A 21937-nucleotide genomic window follows, 5' to 3' on the forward strand; every position below is an offset into this window, starting at 1 on the left:
TAAAAGTGTTCAGCATCACTAATCATAAGGGTAACGTCAATCAAAACCACAATGAGCTATCACCTCACACCTGTTAGGATGGCTATTACCAAGAAGTCAAAAGATAACAGATGTTGACAAAGATGAGGAGTAAAGGAAACCCATGTACATTGTCAGTGGACATGTAAATTATACAGTAATAATGGAACACAGTATACGAATCCCTCAAAAAATTAAAAATAAAACTCATATGATCCAGCAATCTCACTTCTGGCTTCTGAACATATATCCAAAGGAAACAAAACCATCTCAAAGATGCATCTGGATTCTCATTTCACTGCAACACAATTGCCAAGATTTGGAAACAACCTAAGTGTAAGTCATCAGATGAAATTCAGATGAAATACATATATATATATATATATATATATATATATATATATATATATATATATACATACACACACACACACACACATATGTATGGAATATATATACAATGGAATATTATTAAGCCTTAAAAAAGGAAATCCATTTATGACAACATGAATGAACTTGGAAGACTTTATGCTAAGTGAAATAAGCCAGACACAGAAACACAAGCACTGCATGATCTCACTTATATGTGGAATCTGAAAAAAGGTGAACTCATATAAACAGTTTAGAAGGGTGGTTTCCAGGTGCAGGGGACTGAGGAAAATGGGAAGATATGGGAAGATGTTCATCAAAAGGTACAAACTTGCAAAAGGCACAAACTTTTATCGTGACTTTTATAACTTGAAGTTATGAAATGAATAAGTTCTGGAGCCCTAATGTATAGCATGGCAACTATGGTTAATAATAATGTATTATATACCTGAAATTTTCTAAGAGAGTAGATCTTAAGTATTCTCACCACAACAAGAAAAAGAATTATGTGTGATAATAAATATATTAATTAGCTTGATTGTGGTAATTATTTTACTATGTATAGTATAATTAGCTTAACTGTGGTAATTATTTTACTATGTATACATGTATCAAAACCTCACATAACACAACTTGAATATATACAATTTTTGTTAATTATATCTTAAGAAAGCTGAAAAAATATTAAATGCAAAAAAATTTAATGATTTTTTAAATGATTTTCAACAATGTGTTTATAATGGCTATTCTTTGTCTTCATGAGTTGCACTGAAAATTGGTTCTTAAGTCTGGGTGGATTTATGAGAGACATGTGACTGTGCTGAGTATTGTCAACAATTCAAAAATCTCTTAAAACTTGCATGGCAGAACATTTTTTATAAATGTAAATCTTTGGGCATGAGCAAATTAACTGTTGGTACAAAAAATTAAAGCTAAAATAACAGAACTGCTATTGTTAAACTGTTGTTTTAAAAACGTAGAGAAAAATTTACAAATGTTTTTATTTTAAAAAATAAGTATAACCTGTTTGACTCATCACTAATGAATATGATTATTGTCTCAGTTATTGATAGTTTACTATTGTTCTTTCCTCCATAATGAAGCTAAGTGCAGTAAATATGGTGTGGTAAATAGTATGCAAGACTACAGAACTTCTTTTTGAAAGTGTTACCTGTAATGAATTTTAAGTTAAAAGACTCTGCATGAACGTGACACTGACTGCATAATTTGTTTACAAGAAATTATGTCCAACAAGGTGATCTAAGAAATTCAACCACTTGATAAAGTTTGCTTCCTCATTTGAAGAATTCATCTTTATATCTTGCTGCAGTATCTGGCAACTTTCCACTCTCCTCCCTTCATGATAGTAATTATGAAAAGTTATTTTCATCCCAAGTAGTCTACATGGTAAAAGGAAATTTTTGTTAGTAGCATAGACTTGGTGCTTTTTTAAAAGAACAAAAGTTTTAAATGAAAGACAATTTAAGACTACTCAAGTCATTATAAAAGTCAATTATCAAAGTTAAAACATTATCACATATATATTAAGAAATCCTAGCTCATTGAACTCGCCTGCAGCTCTCGGGTTCCTGTGGCTTTCTTCTTTATCGGAGCCAGGGCTACATGCCAGCAACCATGTCCAAGGGACCTGCAGTTGGTATTGATCTTAGCACCACCTACTCTTACGTGGGTGTTTTCCAGCACGGAAAAGTAGAGATAATTGCCAATGATCAGGGAAACTGAACCACTCCAAGCTATGTCGCCTTTATGGACACTAAACAGTTGATTGGTGATGCCGCAAAGCATCAAGTTGCAATGAACCCCACCAACACAGTTTTTGATGCCAAACGTCTGATTGGACGCAGATTTGATGATGCTGTTGTCCAGTCTGATATGAAGCATTGGCCCTTCATGGTAGTGAATGATGCTGACAGGCCCCAGGTCCAAGTAGAATACAAGGGAGAGACCAAAAGCTTCTATCCAGAGGAGGTATCCTCTATTGTTCTGACAAAGATGAAGGAAATTGCAGAAGCCTACCTTGGGAAGACTGTTACCAGTGCTGTGGTCACAGTGCCAGCTTACTTTAATGACTCTCAGTTTCAGGTTACCAAAGATGCTGGAACTATTGCTGGTCTCAATGTACTTAGAATTATTAATGAGCCAACTGTTGCTGCTATTGTTTACAAAAGTTCAGACAAAAAGGTTGGAGCACAAAGAAACGTGCTTATCTTTGACCTGGGGGGTGGCACTTTCGGTGTGTCAATCCTCACTATTGAGGATGGAATCTTTGAGGTCAAGTCTACAGCCAGAGACAACCACTTGGGTGGAGAAGATTTTGACAACCGAATGGTCAACCATTTTATTGCTGAGCTCAAGCGCAAGCATAAGAAGGACATCAGTGAGAGCAAGAGAGCTGTAAGATGCCTCCGTACTGCTTGTGAACATGCTAAGCGTACTCTCTCTTCCAGCACCCAAGTCAGTATTGAGATCGATTCTCTCTATGTAGGAATTGACTTCTATACCTCCATTACCTGTGCCCAGTTTGAAGAATTGAATGCTGACCTGTTCTGTGGCACCCTGGACCCAGTAGAGAAAGCCCTTCGAGATGCCAAACCAGACAAGTCACAAATTCATGATATTGTCCTGGTTGGTGGTTCTATTAGTATCCCCAAGATTCAGAAGCTTCTCCAAGACTTCTTCAATGGAAAAGAACTGAATAAGAGCATCAGCCATGATGAAGCTGTTGCTTATGGCTGTCCAGGCAGCCATCCTGTCTGGAGACAAGTCTGAAAATGTTCAAGATTTGCTGCTCTTGGACGTCACTCCTCTTTCCCTTGGTATTGAAACTGCTAGTGGAGTCATGACCATCCTCATCAACTGTAATACCACCATTCCTACCAAGCAGACACAGACCTTCATTACCTATTCTGACAACCAGCCTGGTGTGCTTATTCAGGTTTATGAAGGTGAGCGTGCCATGTCCAAGGATAACAACCTGCTTGGCAAGTTTGAATTCACGGGCATACCTCCTGAACCCCAAGGTGTTCCTCAGATTGAAGTCACTTTTGACATTGATGCCAATGGTATCCTCAGTGTCTCTGCTGTGGACAAAAGTACAGGAAAAGAGAATAAAATTACTATCACTAATAATAAGGGCCATTTGAGCAAGGAAGACATTGAACGTATGGTCCAGGAAGCTGAGAATTAAAAAGCTGAAGATGAGAAGCAGAGGGACAAGGCGTCATCCAAGAATTCACTTGAGTCCTATGCATTCAACATGAAAGCAACTGTCGAAGATGAGAAACTTCAAGACAAGATTAATGATGAGGACAAACAGAAGATTCTGGACAGGTGTAATGAAATTATCAACTGGCACAATAAGAATCGGACTGCCAAGAAGGAAGAATTTGAACATCAGCAGAAAGAGCTGGAGGAACTTTGCAACCCAATCATCACCAAGCTGTACCAGAGTGCAGAAGGCATGCCAGGAAGAATGCCTGGGGGATTCCCTGTTGGTGGAGCTCCTCCTTCTGGTGGTGCTTCCTTAGGGCCCACCATCGAAGAGGTTGATTAAGCCAACCCAAGTATAGATGTAGCATTGTTCCACACATTTAAAACATTTGAAGGACCTAAATTTGTAGCAAATTCTGTGGCAGTTTTAAAAAGTTAAGCTGCTATAGTAAGTTACTGGGCATTCTCAATACTTGAATATGGAACATATGCACAGGGGAAGGAAATAACATTGCACTTTATAAACACTGTATTGTAAGTGGAAAATGCAATGTCTTAAATAAAACTATTTAAAATTGGCACCATAAAAAAAGAAACCTTAAAAATGATTTCATTCGATTATCAATAACTTTGATTATACCAAAGTTATCAAAAACGATTCAACTTTCAAACTAAAATGATAAAATGAAGATTACAATTGGACAAATTTTGGCTCAAAACTAAGCCCCTGATTTTCTGCCCTGTTACTTCAAACCTCCTCTGTCCCAAAGATTTTCCATATCCCTAAACACAGTCACAATGCATCCAAGTACTTACAGCTAGAAATCACTATGGATTTACCTGTTTCCCATAATCCACCAATACATGTTATCAGTTATCTAAAATAGACATGAAATTATAATCTATCTCCCTTGTTTTTATTTGAGACAGAGTCTCACTCTGTAGCCCAGGCTGGAGTGGAGTGCTGTGATCATAGCTTACTGGAGCCTGGAATTCCTGGGTTTAAGCGATCCTCCTGCCTCTGTCTCCCAAGTAGCTGAGACTACAGGTATGTGCCACCATGCTCACTATCTATCTATATGCTATTTATTTATCGATTTATTTATTGTAGAGACAGGGTCTCACTATGTTGCCCATGCTGGTCTCCACCCCCTGGCTTCAAGCCATTCTCTCTCCTTGGCCTCCCAAAGTGCTGGGTTTATAAGCATGAGCCATTGTGCCCAGCCCCTATCAATTTTTAAATAGCTTCAAAATACTCTTTTCTATTTTTTCTGTTCTGACTTTTCTGTAGCTTGCTTTCCACATAGTGGCAGAAGTAATTCTTTAAAATGTTAATAAATCCTGCATGCATCTGATTAAAACCCTTCTAAGTTTCTTTAGTGTTAATTTGAAAAATATTTTTAAAATTGACATAACATAATTTGATCTGAAATTATAGATTTCGCCAATCCTATTGACTTCTTCCTTACTCCTGTTAAGCATATTTTCTCATATGTGCCAAACATTTCTCTCTTCCTCACATTTGGACATGCTGTTTTCTCTATCAAGAGTGTTCTTCACCCTTTTCTCTGCAGGACAAGTTCCTTTTCATTGTTCCTATCTCAGTTGAAATTTCTCCTTTGTTAGAAAGACCTTCACTTTCATCTCTATCTAAAATATGTTCTCAGAATCTAATCATCCCCATCCCATTCCACCCCCTTTTTCTCCATCTCCGTATCCAGATATGTAGGTCATTAACTTATTGCTATCTGTCATTCTTTGAATTAATTGTTTACTGCTTCTATCTTAGCCCCTCTCCTCACTTTAACTCGTATATATAAATTAGCCTATGTTAAAATTGGTATCATTATACACTGTTTTGCTTACAGTTGCACTTTCTATGAATCTATTGACAGTAAGTAAATATTTACTGTATTGCATTGGGAGAAAGACCTTATGGTCTGCAACTGATTTTTTTTCAAAAACATTTTAGCTTGATTTTCAGCTTTAATCATAACAGAGCAACTGAGATCATGACCTTCTTGCCATATACAAATGTAAAGCTGCACAAAACATATAAGGCAATTGTTTTTAGTTTTGGTACAACAGATAGCACAGGATGTTGATCTTTGCAAAAGAGAAACAAGTGAGCCCAGTGACTACTCCATTCAGTTGAGAATATTTCCTAAATCATCATCCAAAGAGATAAAGCCCAAGCAGAGTATGGAAATTTCAGTGAAATGAAGAGGCAGAGAGTTGAGGATGAGACTACTTAGGCAGCTGACTATTGTAGGGCATGGTGCCAGAGATAAGAAAATTATGCAGAGAAGCAGTTCTAAAATTCTTCTTAGGGATCTCTATAAGTCTTTTGTTAAATATTAGGTTTTGCATGCATACAGCAAGAATCCACAAGGCCTGGCAGAAAATAATTTGAGGTCTGTAAGCTAAACATATATTTAAGAGGCTGAGCAACGTTAAGATACATAGGAGCTCTTACAAGCCAGAGTTGAGAGACCTCACCTAGTATCCTGGATAGTCTATTGAAAGCCACACAGGTTATACCTTAGAAGTAAAAACTACTCCAGACCCATCCTAACAAAGTTGAAAAACAAGAGTGAAAAGTTAAAGCTGATGTACCAGTAATTAACTGTCATGATAAAATTTAACACTTTTTAAATTAAGATTACAAAACTCAGATTCTCAACAATGTAGCAACCACAATGTTCAGCAATAACAAAAAGTTACTACACATGTAGAGAGGGAAGAAAATTATTGATTATATCACCAGCAAAATTACATTACAGGTAAAATTGATGGAAGGTTTTTGGCTAAAAAAAAAACAGAGAAGTTAATGCATAAATAGGGAAGAATATATAGAAAATACTTTTTTATTAAAAGTTAATTGACTAAGCAAAGTAAAAACAAAATGTTACATTATTTATATCATATGTAGAAGTAAAATGTATAAAAACAATGAAACCATACTGTCACATATTTATGGTAGACTAAAATAAATTAAGAATACATATAATAGTGCTAAAAGCAGCTACTGAGATGATACAATAAAGGAATTTAGCATATTTAGCCAATAAAGTAAATAGATACAATTGAGTATTTTTAAAATACTCAGCTAATACAAAACAAGGCAGTATAAGAGGAGGAAAGAGAACAAAACCAAAATTGAAGAACTAGAAATGAAATAGCAAGTTAAACCTAGCCAGATTAACAATTACATTAAACATAAATGGACTAAACATACTAATTAAAAGACAGAGATTGTCAGACTAGATAAAATAAAATAACATTATTTGCATACTGTTTACAAGAGATACATATAAGTATAAAAGCACAAATAGTAAAAATGAAATAATGGACAAAATATAACATGCAAACACTTAAATCAAGTCTTGAGTGCCTATGTTAGTATCAGACAAAGACTTCAAGATAAGAAATATTACCAAAGATAATGAGGGACATTTTATAGTAATAAAAGGTCATTTTATTAAGAAGACATAAATATGCTTGCACCAAATGACAGATTTTCAAAATACATAAAAGAGAAGCTGACTGATCCTAAGAAAATATATAAAATTCCCAAAAATTGCAGGAAATTTTAACTTTTCTATTGATAATTCTCTCAATATTAACTGATTTAGGAGTAGAAAGAAAATAAGCAAGGATAGAGAAAATGTAAACACTATCAACCAATATAACCAAATTGATACATATAGATATATAGCTATGGTAAATTATACTTAAAAACTACAATCTCCATGGAATTCTTTTCAAGTGCACATGGAATGTTTACCAGGAAAAACTAGATGCCAGGCCATTAAAAAGTCTAAATTCATTTTAACGATCTGAGATCATAAAGAATATATTCCTTAAAACAGGAACAAATTAAAAATCAACAACAAAGTAAAACTTGAGCAATCCCCAATTTAATAGAAATATGTGAGAAATTCCCAAATAGTTTTAAGTTAAAGAGCACACTTAAAAATAATCCATGAATCAAAGAATTAATTATGGCAAAATTAGAAAATATTTTGAACTAAATAATAATAACACCATATATCAAAATTTGTGGGATATAATTACAGGAAAATTTATAGCTTTTGATGCATATATTAGCAAGGAAGAAGGATTTAAAATAAGGGACCAAAAAACATTTATCTTAAGAATGTAGAAAAGTAGAGTAAATTGATCTCAAAGTAAGTAGAAGAAAAGAAGTATAGGAGATAGTATTGGAAATCAATAAAATTTTAAAACAGTTCAGAAAAAAATTAATAAAATCTAAAGTTGGTGTTCTGACAGCCACAATATAATTAATATGCACCTAGATAGACTTATCAAGAAAAAAAATAGGAAAAAAAATACAGACTGCTCATGTCAACAATGGAAGAAAGAGAGACAGGACAAAGCTACAGATACAGGAGACCTCAAAGGAAATATAAGAGAATATTATAAACAACTTTATGCCAATACATTTTAGAATTTTAATGAAGTGGACAAATTCCTTATAAGACACTAATTTATCAATACTTAGGCAAAATAAATGGAAAATCTGAATAGCCCTATATAGTTCTATATCTGTTAAAAATTTTAATTTGTAGTTAAAATATACTTCTCATAAAGAAAATTCAGTCAAATAAATGACTACACTGTTAAATTCTAGCAAAACTTAAGGAAAATATCCTGCTAATATTGTGCAAAATGTTTCGTGATATAAAGGAGATGGGGACATTTCCCAAATCATTTTATGAAGTAACCTAACCCATACCTAAGCCAGGAAAAGCACAAGGCAAGAAAATAAATACTCCTTATGAACATAGCCAAAAACCCTTAACAAAATATTAGCAAATTGAATCCAGCAATAAACCAAAAGAATCATGATTGCCTAGATTGTATCCCAATATGCAAAATTAGGCAATCATTTTGAAAATTAATTTAATCTAGTGTTTCACATTAAAAAGGCAAAATTATATGTTCATCATATAATCAAAAAATATTTAATATAATTCAATTCTTATTTATGACAGCTTCAGCAACCAAGGAATAGAATACTTCCTTAAACTGATACACAGCATTTATTTAGAAAGCTACAAATATTACACTTATTGGTGAGAAACTGAATGTTTCTTCTTTAAAATTGGAACCAAGTCAAGAATATTTGACTGACTCTACTTCAGTCAAAATTATCGGGGGAACCCGCCCCTGATAATTCACGTAGGTTCTTTTCTATTTTCCCTAAGTGTCAGCCAGTCTGAGAAATAAAGGGAAAGGGTAAAAAAGAGAGAAATTTTAAAGCTGGATGTCCGGGGGAGACATCACATGTCGGCAGGTTCTGTGATGCCCCCAAAGCCGCAAAACCAGCAACTTTTTATTAGTGATTTTCAAAAGGGGAGGGAGTGTACGAATAGGGTGTGGGTCACAGAGATCACATGCTTTTCAAGGTAATAAGACATTACAAGGCAAATGGAGGCAGAGTGAGATCACAGGACCAGGGCGAAATTAAAATTGCTAATGAAGTTTCAGGCATGCATTGTCACTGATAACATCTTATCAGGAGACAGGGTTTGAGAGCAGACAACTGGTCTGACCAAAATTTATTAGGTGGGAATTTCCTTGTCCTAATAAGCCTGGGAGCGCTATGGGAGACTGGGGCTTATTTCATCCCTTATCCACAACCATTAAAGACAGACGTCCCCAGAGCAGCCATTTTAGAGGCCTACCACTAGGCACGCATTCTCTTTCTCAGGGCTTTTCCTTGCTGAGAAAAAGAATTCAGCGTTATTTCTCCTATTTGCTTTTGAAAGAAGAGAAATATGGCTCTGTTCCGCCCAGCCCACAGGCAGCCAGACTTTAAGGTTATCTCTCTTGTTCCCTGAACATCGCTGTTATCCTGTTCTTAAGGTGCCCAGATTTGATATTGTTCAAACACACATGCTCTACAAACAATTTGTGCAGTTAACACAATCATCACAGGGTCTTGAGGTGACATACATCCTCCTTACCTGCGAAGATGATGGGATTAAGAGATTAAAGTAAAGACAGGCATAGGAAATCACAAGAATATTGACTGGGGAAGTGATAAATGTCCATGAAATCTTCACAATTTATGTTCAGAGACTGCAGTAAAGACAGGCGCAAGAAATTATAAAAGTATTAATTTGGGGAGCTAATAAATGTCCATGAAATCTTCACAATTTATGTTCTTCTGCCACAGTTTCAGCCAGTCCCTCCGTTCAGAGTACGTGACTTCCCGCAACACAAAATTGTACTGGAGGTCCAAGCCAATGTGAATAGAAAGAAAACAAAGTAAAATCATCTGGAGGCACAAGGAAAATATAAAACTGTCTTTATTCACAGATAACATGATAATGTACATGGAATACTAAGAAATCTTAAAAATTAAGAAAACTACTAGAACTAATGAGTAAATTTAACAAGATTGTATAATAAAAGGTCAATAAACAAAAATAAGTCATGTTTCTATGTATGAGAAAAATAGATAAACTAAAAATCAGAATAATCAAAATCTAATAATAATAAATTTAATTAAAATTAGTAAAAGTACTAACCTGACAGCAACAAAACATTGCTGAGAAAAATTAAACACCTTAGTTAAATGATGTGCCATGTATCTAAAACAGAAAACTCAATATTATTAAGATATCAATTACCAAATTGACATATAGGTTCAATGCTGTCTATTAAGTCTTTAATTCATTTTGAGTTAATTTTTGTATATAGTGTGAGATAAGGGTCCACTTCCATTCCTTTGCATATGGATTTCCAGGTTTTCCAACACCATTTATTGACAATATTGTCCTTTTTCCATTGTGTGTTCTTGGCAGCTTTTTTGTAGAAACTGACAAGTTGATTTTAAAGTTTATATGGTAATGCAGAAGATTCACAATAGCCAAACTTATCTTGAGAAAGAACAAAATTAAAAGATTTACAATACCTGACTTTAAGGCTTACGATAAGCTACAGCAGTTTTAGCAGTACAATATTAATATAAGAATAAGTGAAGAGCTCAGGAGAACAAAAATAAGCAAATGCTTATATGGCCTTTTCAACAAATATACCAAAGTAGCTTAACAGAGAAAGAAAAATCTTTTCAACAAATAGAAATCTTAATATATAAACTGGAAAAAAAAGCTAGACCTATATCTCATAAACCCTGCACAAAAATTATTTCATATGGGCTATCAAACTAAATGTGAAAGCTAAAAGTATAATGCTCCTAAATCACACACACACAAACACACACACACAGAGAGAGAGAGAATATCTTCACAACCTCTTAGATGATATAAAGAAAAGTAATAAGAATAAAGGAAAACATTTGTAAACTATATTTCATGAAATTCAAAAGTTTATCAAAAACACCATTTAAAAACTAAATTTTTAAGCCATAGGTTGGATGAATATATTTGTGATACACACATTTGACAAGGGATTTGTATCTAGAATGTATAAAGACTTTATATAACTCGAGAATAAATAGACAATTTGAATGAATGTTCATACGACCAGAAGCAATCTACAGGTTCAATGCAATTCGTATTAAAATTTGAATGTCATTTTTCACAGAAATAAAAAAAAAAAATCTAAAATTCATATGGAACCACCAAAAAAACCCAAACAGGTAAGTAAAAAAGAACAAAGCTGGGGACATCACACTAACTGTCTTCAACATAAACATACTATCATAAACAGATAGTAATTAAAACAGCATGGTGGTGGCATAAAAATAGACCCATTGACCAATGGAACAGAGTCGAGAGTCCAAAGATGAGCCCATGCTTGCCTAGTCAATTGATTTTTGCCAAAGTGCCAAGAAAACACAATGAAAAAAGGACAGTTTCTTCAGTAAATGTTGTTTGAAAACTGAATATCCACATGCAGAAGAATTAAATTGGACTCTTATCTCACACCATATACAAAAATCAACTCAAAATGGATTAGACTTAAACGTAAGACCTGAAACTGTGAGACTACTAAAAGAACATAAGGAAAAACAAATAAGTTATGACTTTCTTAGATTTGACCCCCAAAGCGCAGACAAAAAAAAAAAAAGTAAAAATAGACAAATGGGATTACATAAAAATAAAATCTCAAATAAAAAGTTTCTGCACAACAGGGAAAACAACAGAGTGAAGAGACAGCCTATGGATTGGGAGAAAATATTTGCAAGCCAGATGTTTGTTGAGGGGTTAATATTCAAAATATATTTAAAAACTCAAATTACTCTGTAGAAAGAAAATAATTATTCTAATTTAAAAATGAGAAAAGGATATGAATAGACTTTTCAAAAGAAGATATGGCCAACAGATATATGAAAAAATGTTCAAAATTGTTAATCATTAGGGAAATGCAAATGAAAAGCACAGTAAGATATCACCTCACACCCGTCAGAATGGCTGTTATCAAAAAGACAGATAAGTATAAGTGAGGACATGGAGAAAAGTGAACCCTTTTACACTGTTGGGAACATAAATTAGCACAGTCGTGCACTGCATGCCGACGTTTCAGTCAACTACAGAGAGCATATGTGGTAAGGTTCCTGTATGATTATAATGAAGCTGAAAAATTCCAATCGCCTAGTGACATCTTAATAATCCTAACCATGTGGAGGATTAACCTAATGTGTGTGTGTTTATGTCTTAGTTTTTAACAAAAACATTTAGAAAGTAAATTTTTAAAAATACAATAAATTTAAAATAGATAAAAGCTTGCAGAATAAGATTATGAAGATAGAAATATTTTTGTACAGCTGTACGATTTGTGTTTTGAACCATGTCATTACAAAGCAGTCAAAAGGATGATCAAAATTAAAAGTTTATACAGTAAAAATTTATAGCAAGCTGTTAAGGTATTATTGAAGAAAGAAAATTTTAATATAAATTTAGATTTGCATAAGTGAGTGTGTATAAAGTGTACAGCAGTGGACAGTAATGTTCTAAACCTTCACACTCTCTCATCACTCACTGACATCCAGAGCAACTTTCAGTCCTGCAAACTAAATTTATGGTAAGTGCCCTATGTAGATGTATCCTGTTTTTTATCTTATATACCATATGTTTACTGTATCATTGCTGTTTAGATTATTTAGATACACAAACACTTTCCACTGTGTTACAATTGTCCACAGTATTCAGTACAGTAATATTCTGTATTGGTTTATAGCTAGGAACAATAGGCTGTACCACATAGCCAAGTGTGAAGTCGGCTGTACTATCGAGGTTTTTGTAAGTACACTCTGTGATGTCTACACAATGACAGAATCATCTACCAATACATTTGTCATAACATATCCCCATCACTAAACAATGTAGACTGGACAGCCATTATGGAAAATTATAAGGAAGCTCCACAAAAACACTAAAAATAGAATGACCATATAATCTAGCACTTTCATTTCTGAGTATTTATGCAAAAGACTTAAAATTAGTATGTTGAAGAGATATTTGCACACCCATATTTATTGCAGCACTATTTACAACAGCTAAGTTGTGGGATCAACCTAAGTATTCATCAACAAATGAATGGAAAAAGAAAATGTCATATATATACATGCAATGGAATACCATTTAGCCTTAGAAAAGAAAAAAATTTTGTCATTTGTGACAATACGGTTAGAATTGGAGAACATTATGCGAAGTGACATAGGCCAGGCACGGAAATACAAACACTATACTGCATGTTCTCACTTACATGTAGAATCTGAAACAATTGAACTCAAAGAAGCAGAGCAAATTTTTTGTTATCAGAGACTACGGAGTGAGGGGGATGAGAGGGATAAGGAGATGACGGTGAAAGGGTAGAAAAACTTCATTAGACAGAAAAATAAGTATTTTTTTTTACTTTGAGATATATTACACAGCGTGATATCATAACTAATAATATATTCCACATTTCAAAATTGCTGAGAGTAAATTTCAAATATTATCACCACAAAAAAGATAAATATTTTAAGTGAATGTGTTAATTAGCTTGATTTAATTTTTCTACATTGTATTCATAAATTATGACATTGCTTTGTACCCTGTAAATATACACAACTATAATTTGACAATTTCCAATTAAAAAACTAAAATTTAAAACAAATAATACCTATTGCAAGTAAATAAAACCTAGTAAATATTTTAGTAATAATAAAGAAAATGAGTAAAAGACATGACCAGACACTTCACAAAATAATATGTACAAACAGCCAATGAACACATTAAAATGTGTTCAGCATCATCAGATATCAATAAAATATAAATAGAAACTCTCATAAGGTACCACTACACATTCACCAGAATTAGTAAAATTAAATACTGACACTACCATCACATTTTAGAAAAAATGTGGAGCTTTCATGTATTGTTGATAAAAGTGTAAAATGGTAAAGCCACTTTGTAAAATGACTTAGAAATTTCTCATAAAGTTACACATCTACTTATCCTATAATGCAGCAATTCCATTCCTGGGTATTTACTGAAATAATGAAAACATATGTCCACAAAATCATTTTATACAAGAATGCTCACAGTAGGGTTATTTATGATAGTAAAAATGGTGAAGCAATGCAAATATCAATTGACAAAGAATAATATACTCATATAATGGAACACTATTCAGCAATAAAAAGAAACTAATTAGTGATATAAGGAACAACATTAATGAGTCTCAAAACATGCTTAGTGAAACAAAGCCTCATCTTTGCACTTAAAATCCATCAGAAACTTCCAGTTGCCTTTAGGATAAAGTGAAAAATGCTAGCAGGCAAGGACCATAATCAGGTTCAAGTTGTATCTGCCAGTACTTCTCTCAGCACTCTTGTGTTTTAGTCATTATAGGGATTTGGAAACTTTTCTGTAAAGACACAGATAATAAATAAATACTTTAAACTTTGCAGACCAATGATCTCTGTCTCACATACTTAACTCTCCTGTTGAAATGTACAAGAAACCACAGAAAATATATCAAGGAATGAGTTTGGCTGTTTTTCAATAAAACTTATTTACAAAAGAAGGCAAATGACAGAATTTGGCCTACAACCTGTGTGTAGTTCATGACTCCTGTTATAGTACTTACTGATTCTTCAACATAACACCAAGACATTAAATACACAAAAGAGTGCCTGCTGTGTGACTCCATGTTAGAACAGACAAAACTAATCCACAGTAATTGACATCAGGATGTGATTACTTCTGGAGGATGTGTAGGGGATTGCCTGGGAATAGGCACAAAGGAACCTACTTGGATGATGGAATTCATATGCAAGTGGTTGCATGCATGTTTACATTTTTAAAACTCAGATTATGCCTCAATGAAAATAACTCAAAAGTGAACCCCATCACATAAAATAATTGATACTGATACTAATTTTTAGAGTTCACAATTTCTGTTTTGCCTATTATCTAAATATGGTCTGTGATACGATTTGGAACTGTGTCCCCTCCAAATGTCATGTCGAATTGTAATCCTCAGTGTTGGAGGTGGGGCCTGGTGGAAAGTGATTGAATTGTGGGGCGGGGCGGGGCGGGGGCAGTTCTCATGAATGGTTTGGCACCATCCCCTTAGTGCTGTTCACACAATATAAGTTCTCAAAAGATCTGATTGTTTAAAAGTGTGTGGCACCTCCACCCTCTCTTCCTCCTGCTCCAGCCATGTGAAGTACCTGCTCCCCTTTGCCTTCCGCCATGATTGGAAGCTTCCTGAGGCCCCCCAGAAGCCAAGCACATGCCAGCATTGTGCTTCCTGTATAGCCTATGTAACCATGAACCAATTAAACCTCTTTTCTTTTTTTTTTTTTTTTTTTGGTTGTTTTTTTTTTTTTTTTTTAAATTTATTTTTTTATTGATAATTCTTGGGTGTTTCTCACAGAGGGGGATTTCGCAGGGTCATGGGACAATAGTGGAGGGAAGGTCAGCAGATAAACAAGTGAACAAAGGTCTCTGGTTTTCCTAGGCAGAGGACCCTGCGGCCTTCCGCAGTGTTTGTGTCCCTGATTACTTGAGATTAGGGATTGGTGATGACTCTTAACGAGCATGCTGCCTTCAAGCATCTGTTTAACAAAGCACATCTTGCACCGCCCTTAATCCATTTAACCCTGAGTGGACACAGCACATGTTTCAGAGAGCACAGGGTTGGGGGTAAGGTCACAGATCAACAGGATCCCAAGGCAGAGGAATTTTTCTTAGTGCAGAACAAAATGAAAAGTCTCCCATGTCTACTTCTTTCTACACAGACACGGCAACCACCCGATTTCTCAATCTTTTCCCCACCTTTCCCGCCTTTCTATTCCACAAAGCCGCCATTGTCATCCTGGCCCGTTCTCAATGAGCTGTTGGGCACACCTCCCAGACGGGGTGGTGGCCAGGCAGAGGGGCTCCTCACTTCCCAGTAGGGGCGGCCGGGCAGAGGCGCCCCTCACCTCCCAGACGGGGCGGCTGGCCGGGCGGAGGGCTGACCCCCCCACCTCCCTCCCGGACAGGGCGGCTGGCCGGGCAGAGGGGCTCCTCACTTCCCAGTAGGGGCGGCCGGGCAGAGGCGCCCCTCACCTCCCAGACGGGGCGGCTGGCCGGGCGGAGGGCTGACCCCCCCACCTCCCTCCCGGACGGGGCGGCTGGCCGGGCAGAGGGGCTCCTCACTTCCCAGTAGGGGCGGCTGGGCAGAGGCGCCCCTCACCTCCCAGACGGGGCGGCTGGCCGGGCGGAGGGCTGACCCCCCCACCTCCCTCCCAGACGGGGCGGCTGGCCAGGCGGGGGGCTGACCCCCCTACCTCCCTACCCGACGGGGCGGCTGGCCGGGTGGGGGGGCTGACCCCCCCATCTCCCTCCCGGACGGGGTGGCTGGCCGGGCTGAGGGGCTCCTCACTTCCCAGTAGGGGCGGCCGGGCAGAGGCGCCCCTCACCTCCCGGACGGAGGGGCTGGCCGGGCGGGGGGCTGACCCCCCCACCTCCCTCCCGGATGGCACGGCTGGCCAGGCGGGGGGCTGACCCCCCCACCTCCCTCCCGGATGGCACGGCTGGCCGGGCGGGGGGGCTGACCCCCCACCTCCCTCCCGGATGGGGCGGCTGGCCGGGCGGGGGGCTGACCCCCCCCCCACCTCCCTCCCGGACGGGGTGGCTGCCGGGCGGAGACGCTCCTCACTTCCCAGATGGGGTGGCTGCCGGGCGGAGAGGCTCCTCACTTCTCAGACGGGGTCTCGGCCGGGCAGAGGCGCTCCTCACATCCCAGATGGGGCGGCGGGGCAGAGGCGCTCCCCACATCTCAGACGATGGGCGGCCGGGCAGAGACGCTCCTCACTTCCTAGATGTGATGGCGGCTGGGAAGAGGCGCTCCTCACTTCCTAGATGGGATGGCGGCCGGGCAGAGACGCTCCTCACTTTCCAGACTGGGCAGCCAGGCAGAGGGGCTCCTCACATCCCAGACGATGGGCGGCCAGGCAGAGACACTCCTCACCTCCCAGACGGGGTGGCAGCCGGGCAGAGGCTGCAATCTCGGCACTTTGGGAGGCCAAGGCAGGCGGCTGCTCCTTGCCCTCGGGCCCCGCGGGGCCCGTCCGCTCCTCCAGCCGCTGCCTCCCGGGCGGCGCTCGCTGGCGCGGCGGCAAAGACTTAAACCTCTTTTCTTTATAAATTACCCAGTCTCGGGTATTTCTTTACAGCTATGTAAGAATGGAATAATACTGTCTAGTATAAGGATTTTAATTAAATATCTTTACAAAGAATTTTTCCCCAGGTTAATATAATAATGAAAATGTACAAGGTTAGAAATTTATTTTAAGCAAATTCCAGTATTAAAAATAGTAGGTTAGGCAACATATTTATATCCTTATTGTGTACGTCAAGCAGAGTTCCATGACAGTAAATCATTACACAGCATTTCTAGGGACATGCAACTTTCAACTACTAGCAAGGAGGAATTAAACAGCTGAATGAAACTGTGTAGTATAAAATTGCCATTAGTTTTAAATATATGCTTTTAAAACGAGCGTGGCACATGTATACATATGTAACTAACCTGCACAATGAGCACATGTACCCTAAAACTTAAAGTATAATAATAAAAGAAAAAAAAACAAAGATGGAATTATAAAAAAATAAATAAATAAATAAAATAAAACGTTCTACTGCCCCTATGTATATTTACTTGTGAATACATAGAAACAAAGCATGTTCCTTATGGCTTGGGCTTTGAAGCTTGAGTTTGAATGTGGCTCCATCACTTGACAAGCTGCGTGACTGCGGTAGATCACTTAATCTTTTTCTGAGTTCCTCATGTGTAAAATGTAATAATAATATATAAGAAATAGTTTTGTGAGGACTCTATGAGAAAATACACAGAGAGATTTGAGAATAATACTTTAGACATATTGTGGGCTCAATAACATTTGTGTCATTCTTCTTATTTTACCGGACATGGCCACAAGAATAAAATATGAATATTGGCATGGAACTGGATATGTGCATTAATAGAGGAAAGTACTAAATATTTTAATAATGGTTTTCTCTGGGTGGTAGGATTATAGGTAGTTTTTAAATACTTGCTTTGTTTTGCACATTTCCTCAAAGATTTTAATAATCAAAACAACTTAAATTTTGAAAAAAAATTTTTAAATGGCTACTACCCCAAATCTCAAACATCCCAATGTCCCCCAAGACAGTCTTATTGTCCTTGAGATATGAAAAAACATCCTCCTAAGGATTCTGTGCTGTAACCTTGTGAAAATATCACCTCAATAATTAAAGCATTAGCCAGTTGGCCTTTGCCATAAAATCATAACAGAAATGGCTGATCACCACATTATGTAGGAAATTTTGTATCCCAGGGCTGGAGATTAATAGAATGGCATATTCCATTGACATTGTCATACTAAGCAACAGTGTTCTCTCCATGCAGCCACAGAAGTGGGTACGCTGTTCTGAGCCAATCTAAGGTGATTACCACGGAAACAGCACTCATTTTACTAACAGCAAGACATATTATCCTTCATGCATGGTCTAGCATCCAAGTTTAATAAGATTCTTAAAGTGAAATTGAGGACATTTGAGATAAGGACCTTAAATCCTGTGAGAAATATTTTATCATCTCTTATTGTTTATCACTTGCATGTCAAATAACCATCTCAGTTATGCTAACAAATCAATTTATTAGAAGGGCAAGTAGATATACCACAACAGAAAGAAGGCAAAGATGATATTACACACTGAAAGTTTAAGTAGTAGAAAAGCAGCTCTCCTATGCTGTTGTCATTTGTGGAAGAAAAAAACAGAAGACAATTTAGTATTGGAAGGCATAGATACATGAAATAGTAGAGTATAGATTATAATTTTGGGGAAGGCTAAGAGGGTACCAAACATCCAGACTGCCTTCAAAGTTTAAAACCCATCAGAAGCTCCCCCATCACCTGCAGTAAAGTGAAAACTGCTTTGCTTAACAGGAAAGAGCCTTCATAATTTGGCTCCAGCTTTATCTACTTTCACTCCTATCAGCACTCCTGAGGCTTCAGCAATACTATGATACTTGCTGATCGCTTAACACTTTGCTCTTCAGTACAGCAATGCCTCAGCAAGTGTTGCTTTCCACACATAAAATGTTTCTTTCTCCTTTGTTTACCTGGCTTAGTCATCCTCATCCTTTACAATCAAGTATTTTAAATTTCCAAATGTAGGACAGGGTTAATAATCCCTCCTTTGTCCTGCCCGTACCTTCCACATGCATATCACGTCAACAGAGGGAGTATTGACAACTGGTTGTCTTCCTAGTAGACTGTGTGTTTCATGAGAGAGGACAGAGGCTGTGTCTTGATTATTATTGTATCTCTTTGCAAGGTACATAGGAGGTGTTTTATAAATATGTATTAAATGTTGACTGATAAATAAACATGCTAAACTAGCAATAAGAATCAATAATATTTGTTAAAGTATCACAGGATTTAACTCAGAGGAAAACTATAGATTAATAAAGGGGGAGGAGAAAAACCAAATCACTCAGTAGTTACGAGCTTTATTTTCCTAATGCTTCATCAAATTTTTCCCTGTGAGCTAAAATTTATTTCTGTCTATAATCTTTCAACTTATTTGAGTATGACTTACAGCCGTATTGCTTCTTTGACCTGATAACCACCAGCCTAAGAGAATCATAATAACAGCTGAAGTGGAACACCAAGGGTACACAGGCCTGTTTCTCACCTGAATGGCTGGAGGCCGTCGACTGGTCGGTGCACTCTACTTGCAACTATGCGGGTTTCTATGTACATCCTGTAAGTGCTCTAGGATGGAAGTATCAAACCAAGATTTCCCAGAATCAATTTAATCTCCAGTAAATTTAATTTTTCAATTATCATTCTGTTTGGCTGAAATGGAATCCACGTGGTCTTTTTAAATTTTGAAAATTATAACAGTAAGCATTGAGTAGCATTATGAGTAATTTTATTGATGTACAACTCACAGCCTTTTTCCTACACTTGTGCCAGTCAAGTAGAAGAACCTAGAGACTAGTTAAGTTTTCCAGCTTAATCCAATTAATATAAAGTTTCTAGAATAGCATTTATCTTATCAAAATATGCTATATGCAACCTCAGTTCTACAGGATAACGCTTATCATATGAAAAGAGAATTCTGTGACCAAATAAGTATACTGAACAGTGAAGATATTTCATTCATCAGGACTTCTCAGAGCCTTTAAAATATTAAAGTTATCTGGGAATCTCTAAGAAGACTGTGGATATATTATACAAGAATTTCTGAATATATCGCCATGACACATCTTCCCTCAGGCACCTCTACTAGTGATCTATGAAATGTACTTTAAGGAATTCTGCTTTCTCCCTCAAAATAAGGGTATAAGGAATGTGACATATTTCAACAGAATCACGGCAGTCTACTCTCGGTAAGACGAACGAGACAAGAGGACTGGTCACAGTGGCACTGGACCCTGTCACCAGAGTAATATATGTTCCCTAAATAAGAAACACGTATATATGTGAGTAGTCAAGTATTCAGTAATTGTTCTTTATCACATGTAAATGGTTTTTCCAAATATAAAATTGAGACAATTGTAGATAAATATCTATATTAGTTAAAATAAAAATGGAACATTATAATAAAGACTTTTGGAGTCAAAATAGGATGGTGGTATGCACTATCTCATCTAAAATTCTGTCTTAGAATTTCTTATGAAAGGATAACTTGTGTACAAAAAAGATTATACTTGATGTGCTCTGAATTAGAATATAATGTCACATGTGCATCCATGGGTTTTCATTCAGAATGCTAAATAAATTGTATTACACAAATGACATATTTGTTGGCTCTCACCTGTGTGTGACCATAGATACGGAAATGTGACTTTGAGGGAAATCGATTGGGGTAGGAGCTAACACTGATGATCAAAGAAGGCAAAGCATGGAGTAGCACAGATTAACATAGACTTGAGGTGTAAGAAGGCATGATGGGAGCTCAAGACATGGGTAGGCAATGGTTAATACTCAAAATTCCAGGGAAATAGTCACTCCAGATCCCTTCATGGCTAGAAAATATTTATCTAATCAACATAGGCTCAGCAGCAAGACTTCAGTCTGACATAAGAGATACTGATTAAAATTAAAATACACTTCACATCTTAGGAACACTAGGGCTTGTGGTCTAAATAAAAAGTTCATGAAGACATTCACGACATTAATTCCATATTCTGCCAATTACTGTCTCTTGAGACCTTTAGAAAAGTTCCTTGTAGGAAACTCACAAGATAATTGAGACAATGAAATAAAACAATGCATATAAATGATCTAGAGCTATCCTTGTCATTCAAAACGTGTTCTGTAAATATTAGCCATTATCATTGACAAGTTTCCAAATAGCAATTCAGGATTGAGATGAAGGTGGAGAGCTACTTAAATAAAATACCCAAGGTGGATATGAATGGGGAGCTTGCATTATAGGAATCCCCATTATAGGAATGGGGACCAAGAAAAAAACTAAGATGCAGTTTAAACATCCAGGGGAAAACACTGAATCTTGTCCTACACCTTATTCATAGTCAGGCATCATTTCAGGTATAAGGCCAGGTCTTGATGCCCCTTACAGAGCCACCATTACCCTGGTCAACTGGCTGAGTGCAGCCAGCAATGCTGTATTCTCTGCCTCTCCATCTCTCTGCCTCTTTCTTTTTCTCTTTCTTACACACACACACACACACACACACACACACACACACACACACTCTTTGTTGGCCAAAGAGTGCATATGTGTCACTGGAAATCTTCATAAATTAATAATGTTCCCATTAATATTGCTTCCATAACTACTGATAGGATCAGCAGTATGTGCTCCTG

General features: G+C 37.0%; 1 long non-coding RNA gene and 1 pseudogene across 1 annotated transcript in view, besides 1 other annotated feature; one reads left to right on the forward strand and one right to left on the reverse strand.

The window, feature by feature from the left end:
* Window positions 1-529: 529 nt before the first annotated feature.
* MGC4859 (uncharacterized LOC79150) overlaps window positions 530-21937 on the reverse strand; it is a 330125-nt gene continuing 308717 nt past the window's right edge. Inside the window, exon 3 of the long non-coding RNA NR_147499.1 lies at window positions 530-3488. This is a non-coding gene — a long non-coding RNA (uncharacterized LOC79150). The remainder of the gene's footprint in view (window positions 3489-21937) is intronic.
* Window positions 1946-4207, forward strand: HSPA8P8 (heat shock protein family A (Hsp70) member 8 pseudogene 8; annotated as a pseudogene).
* Window positions 15401-16311: an enhancer, noted in NCBI's record as "NANOG-H3K27ac hESC enhancer chr7:10504318-10505228 (GRCh37/hg19 assembly coordinates)". NCBI's record gives its function as "activates a minimal SCP1, AML or CMV promoter by ChIP-STARR-seq in primed H9 embryonic stem cells {active_cell/tissue: H9 hESC(primed)}" and the evidence as "EXISTENCE:reporter gene assay evidence [ECO:0000049][PMID:30033119]".

Source organism: Homo sapiens, chromosome 7 (assembly GCF_000001405.40).
Source record: "Homo sapiens chromosome 7, GRCh38.p14 Primary Assembly".
Lineage (NCBI taxonomy): Eukaryota > Metazoa > Chordata > Mammalia > Primates > Hominidae > Homo > Homo sapiens.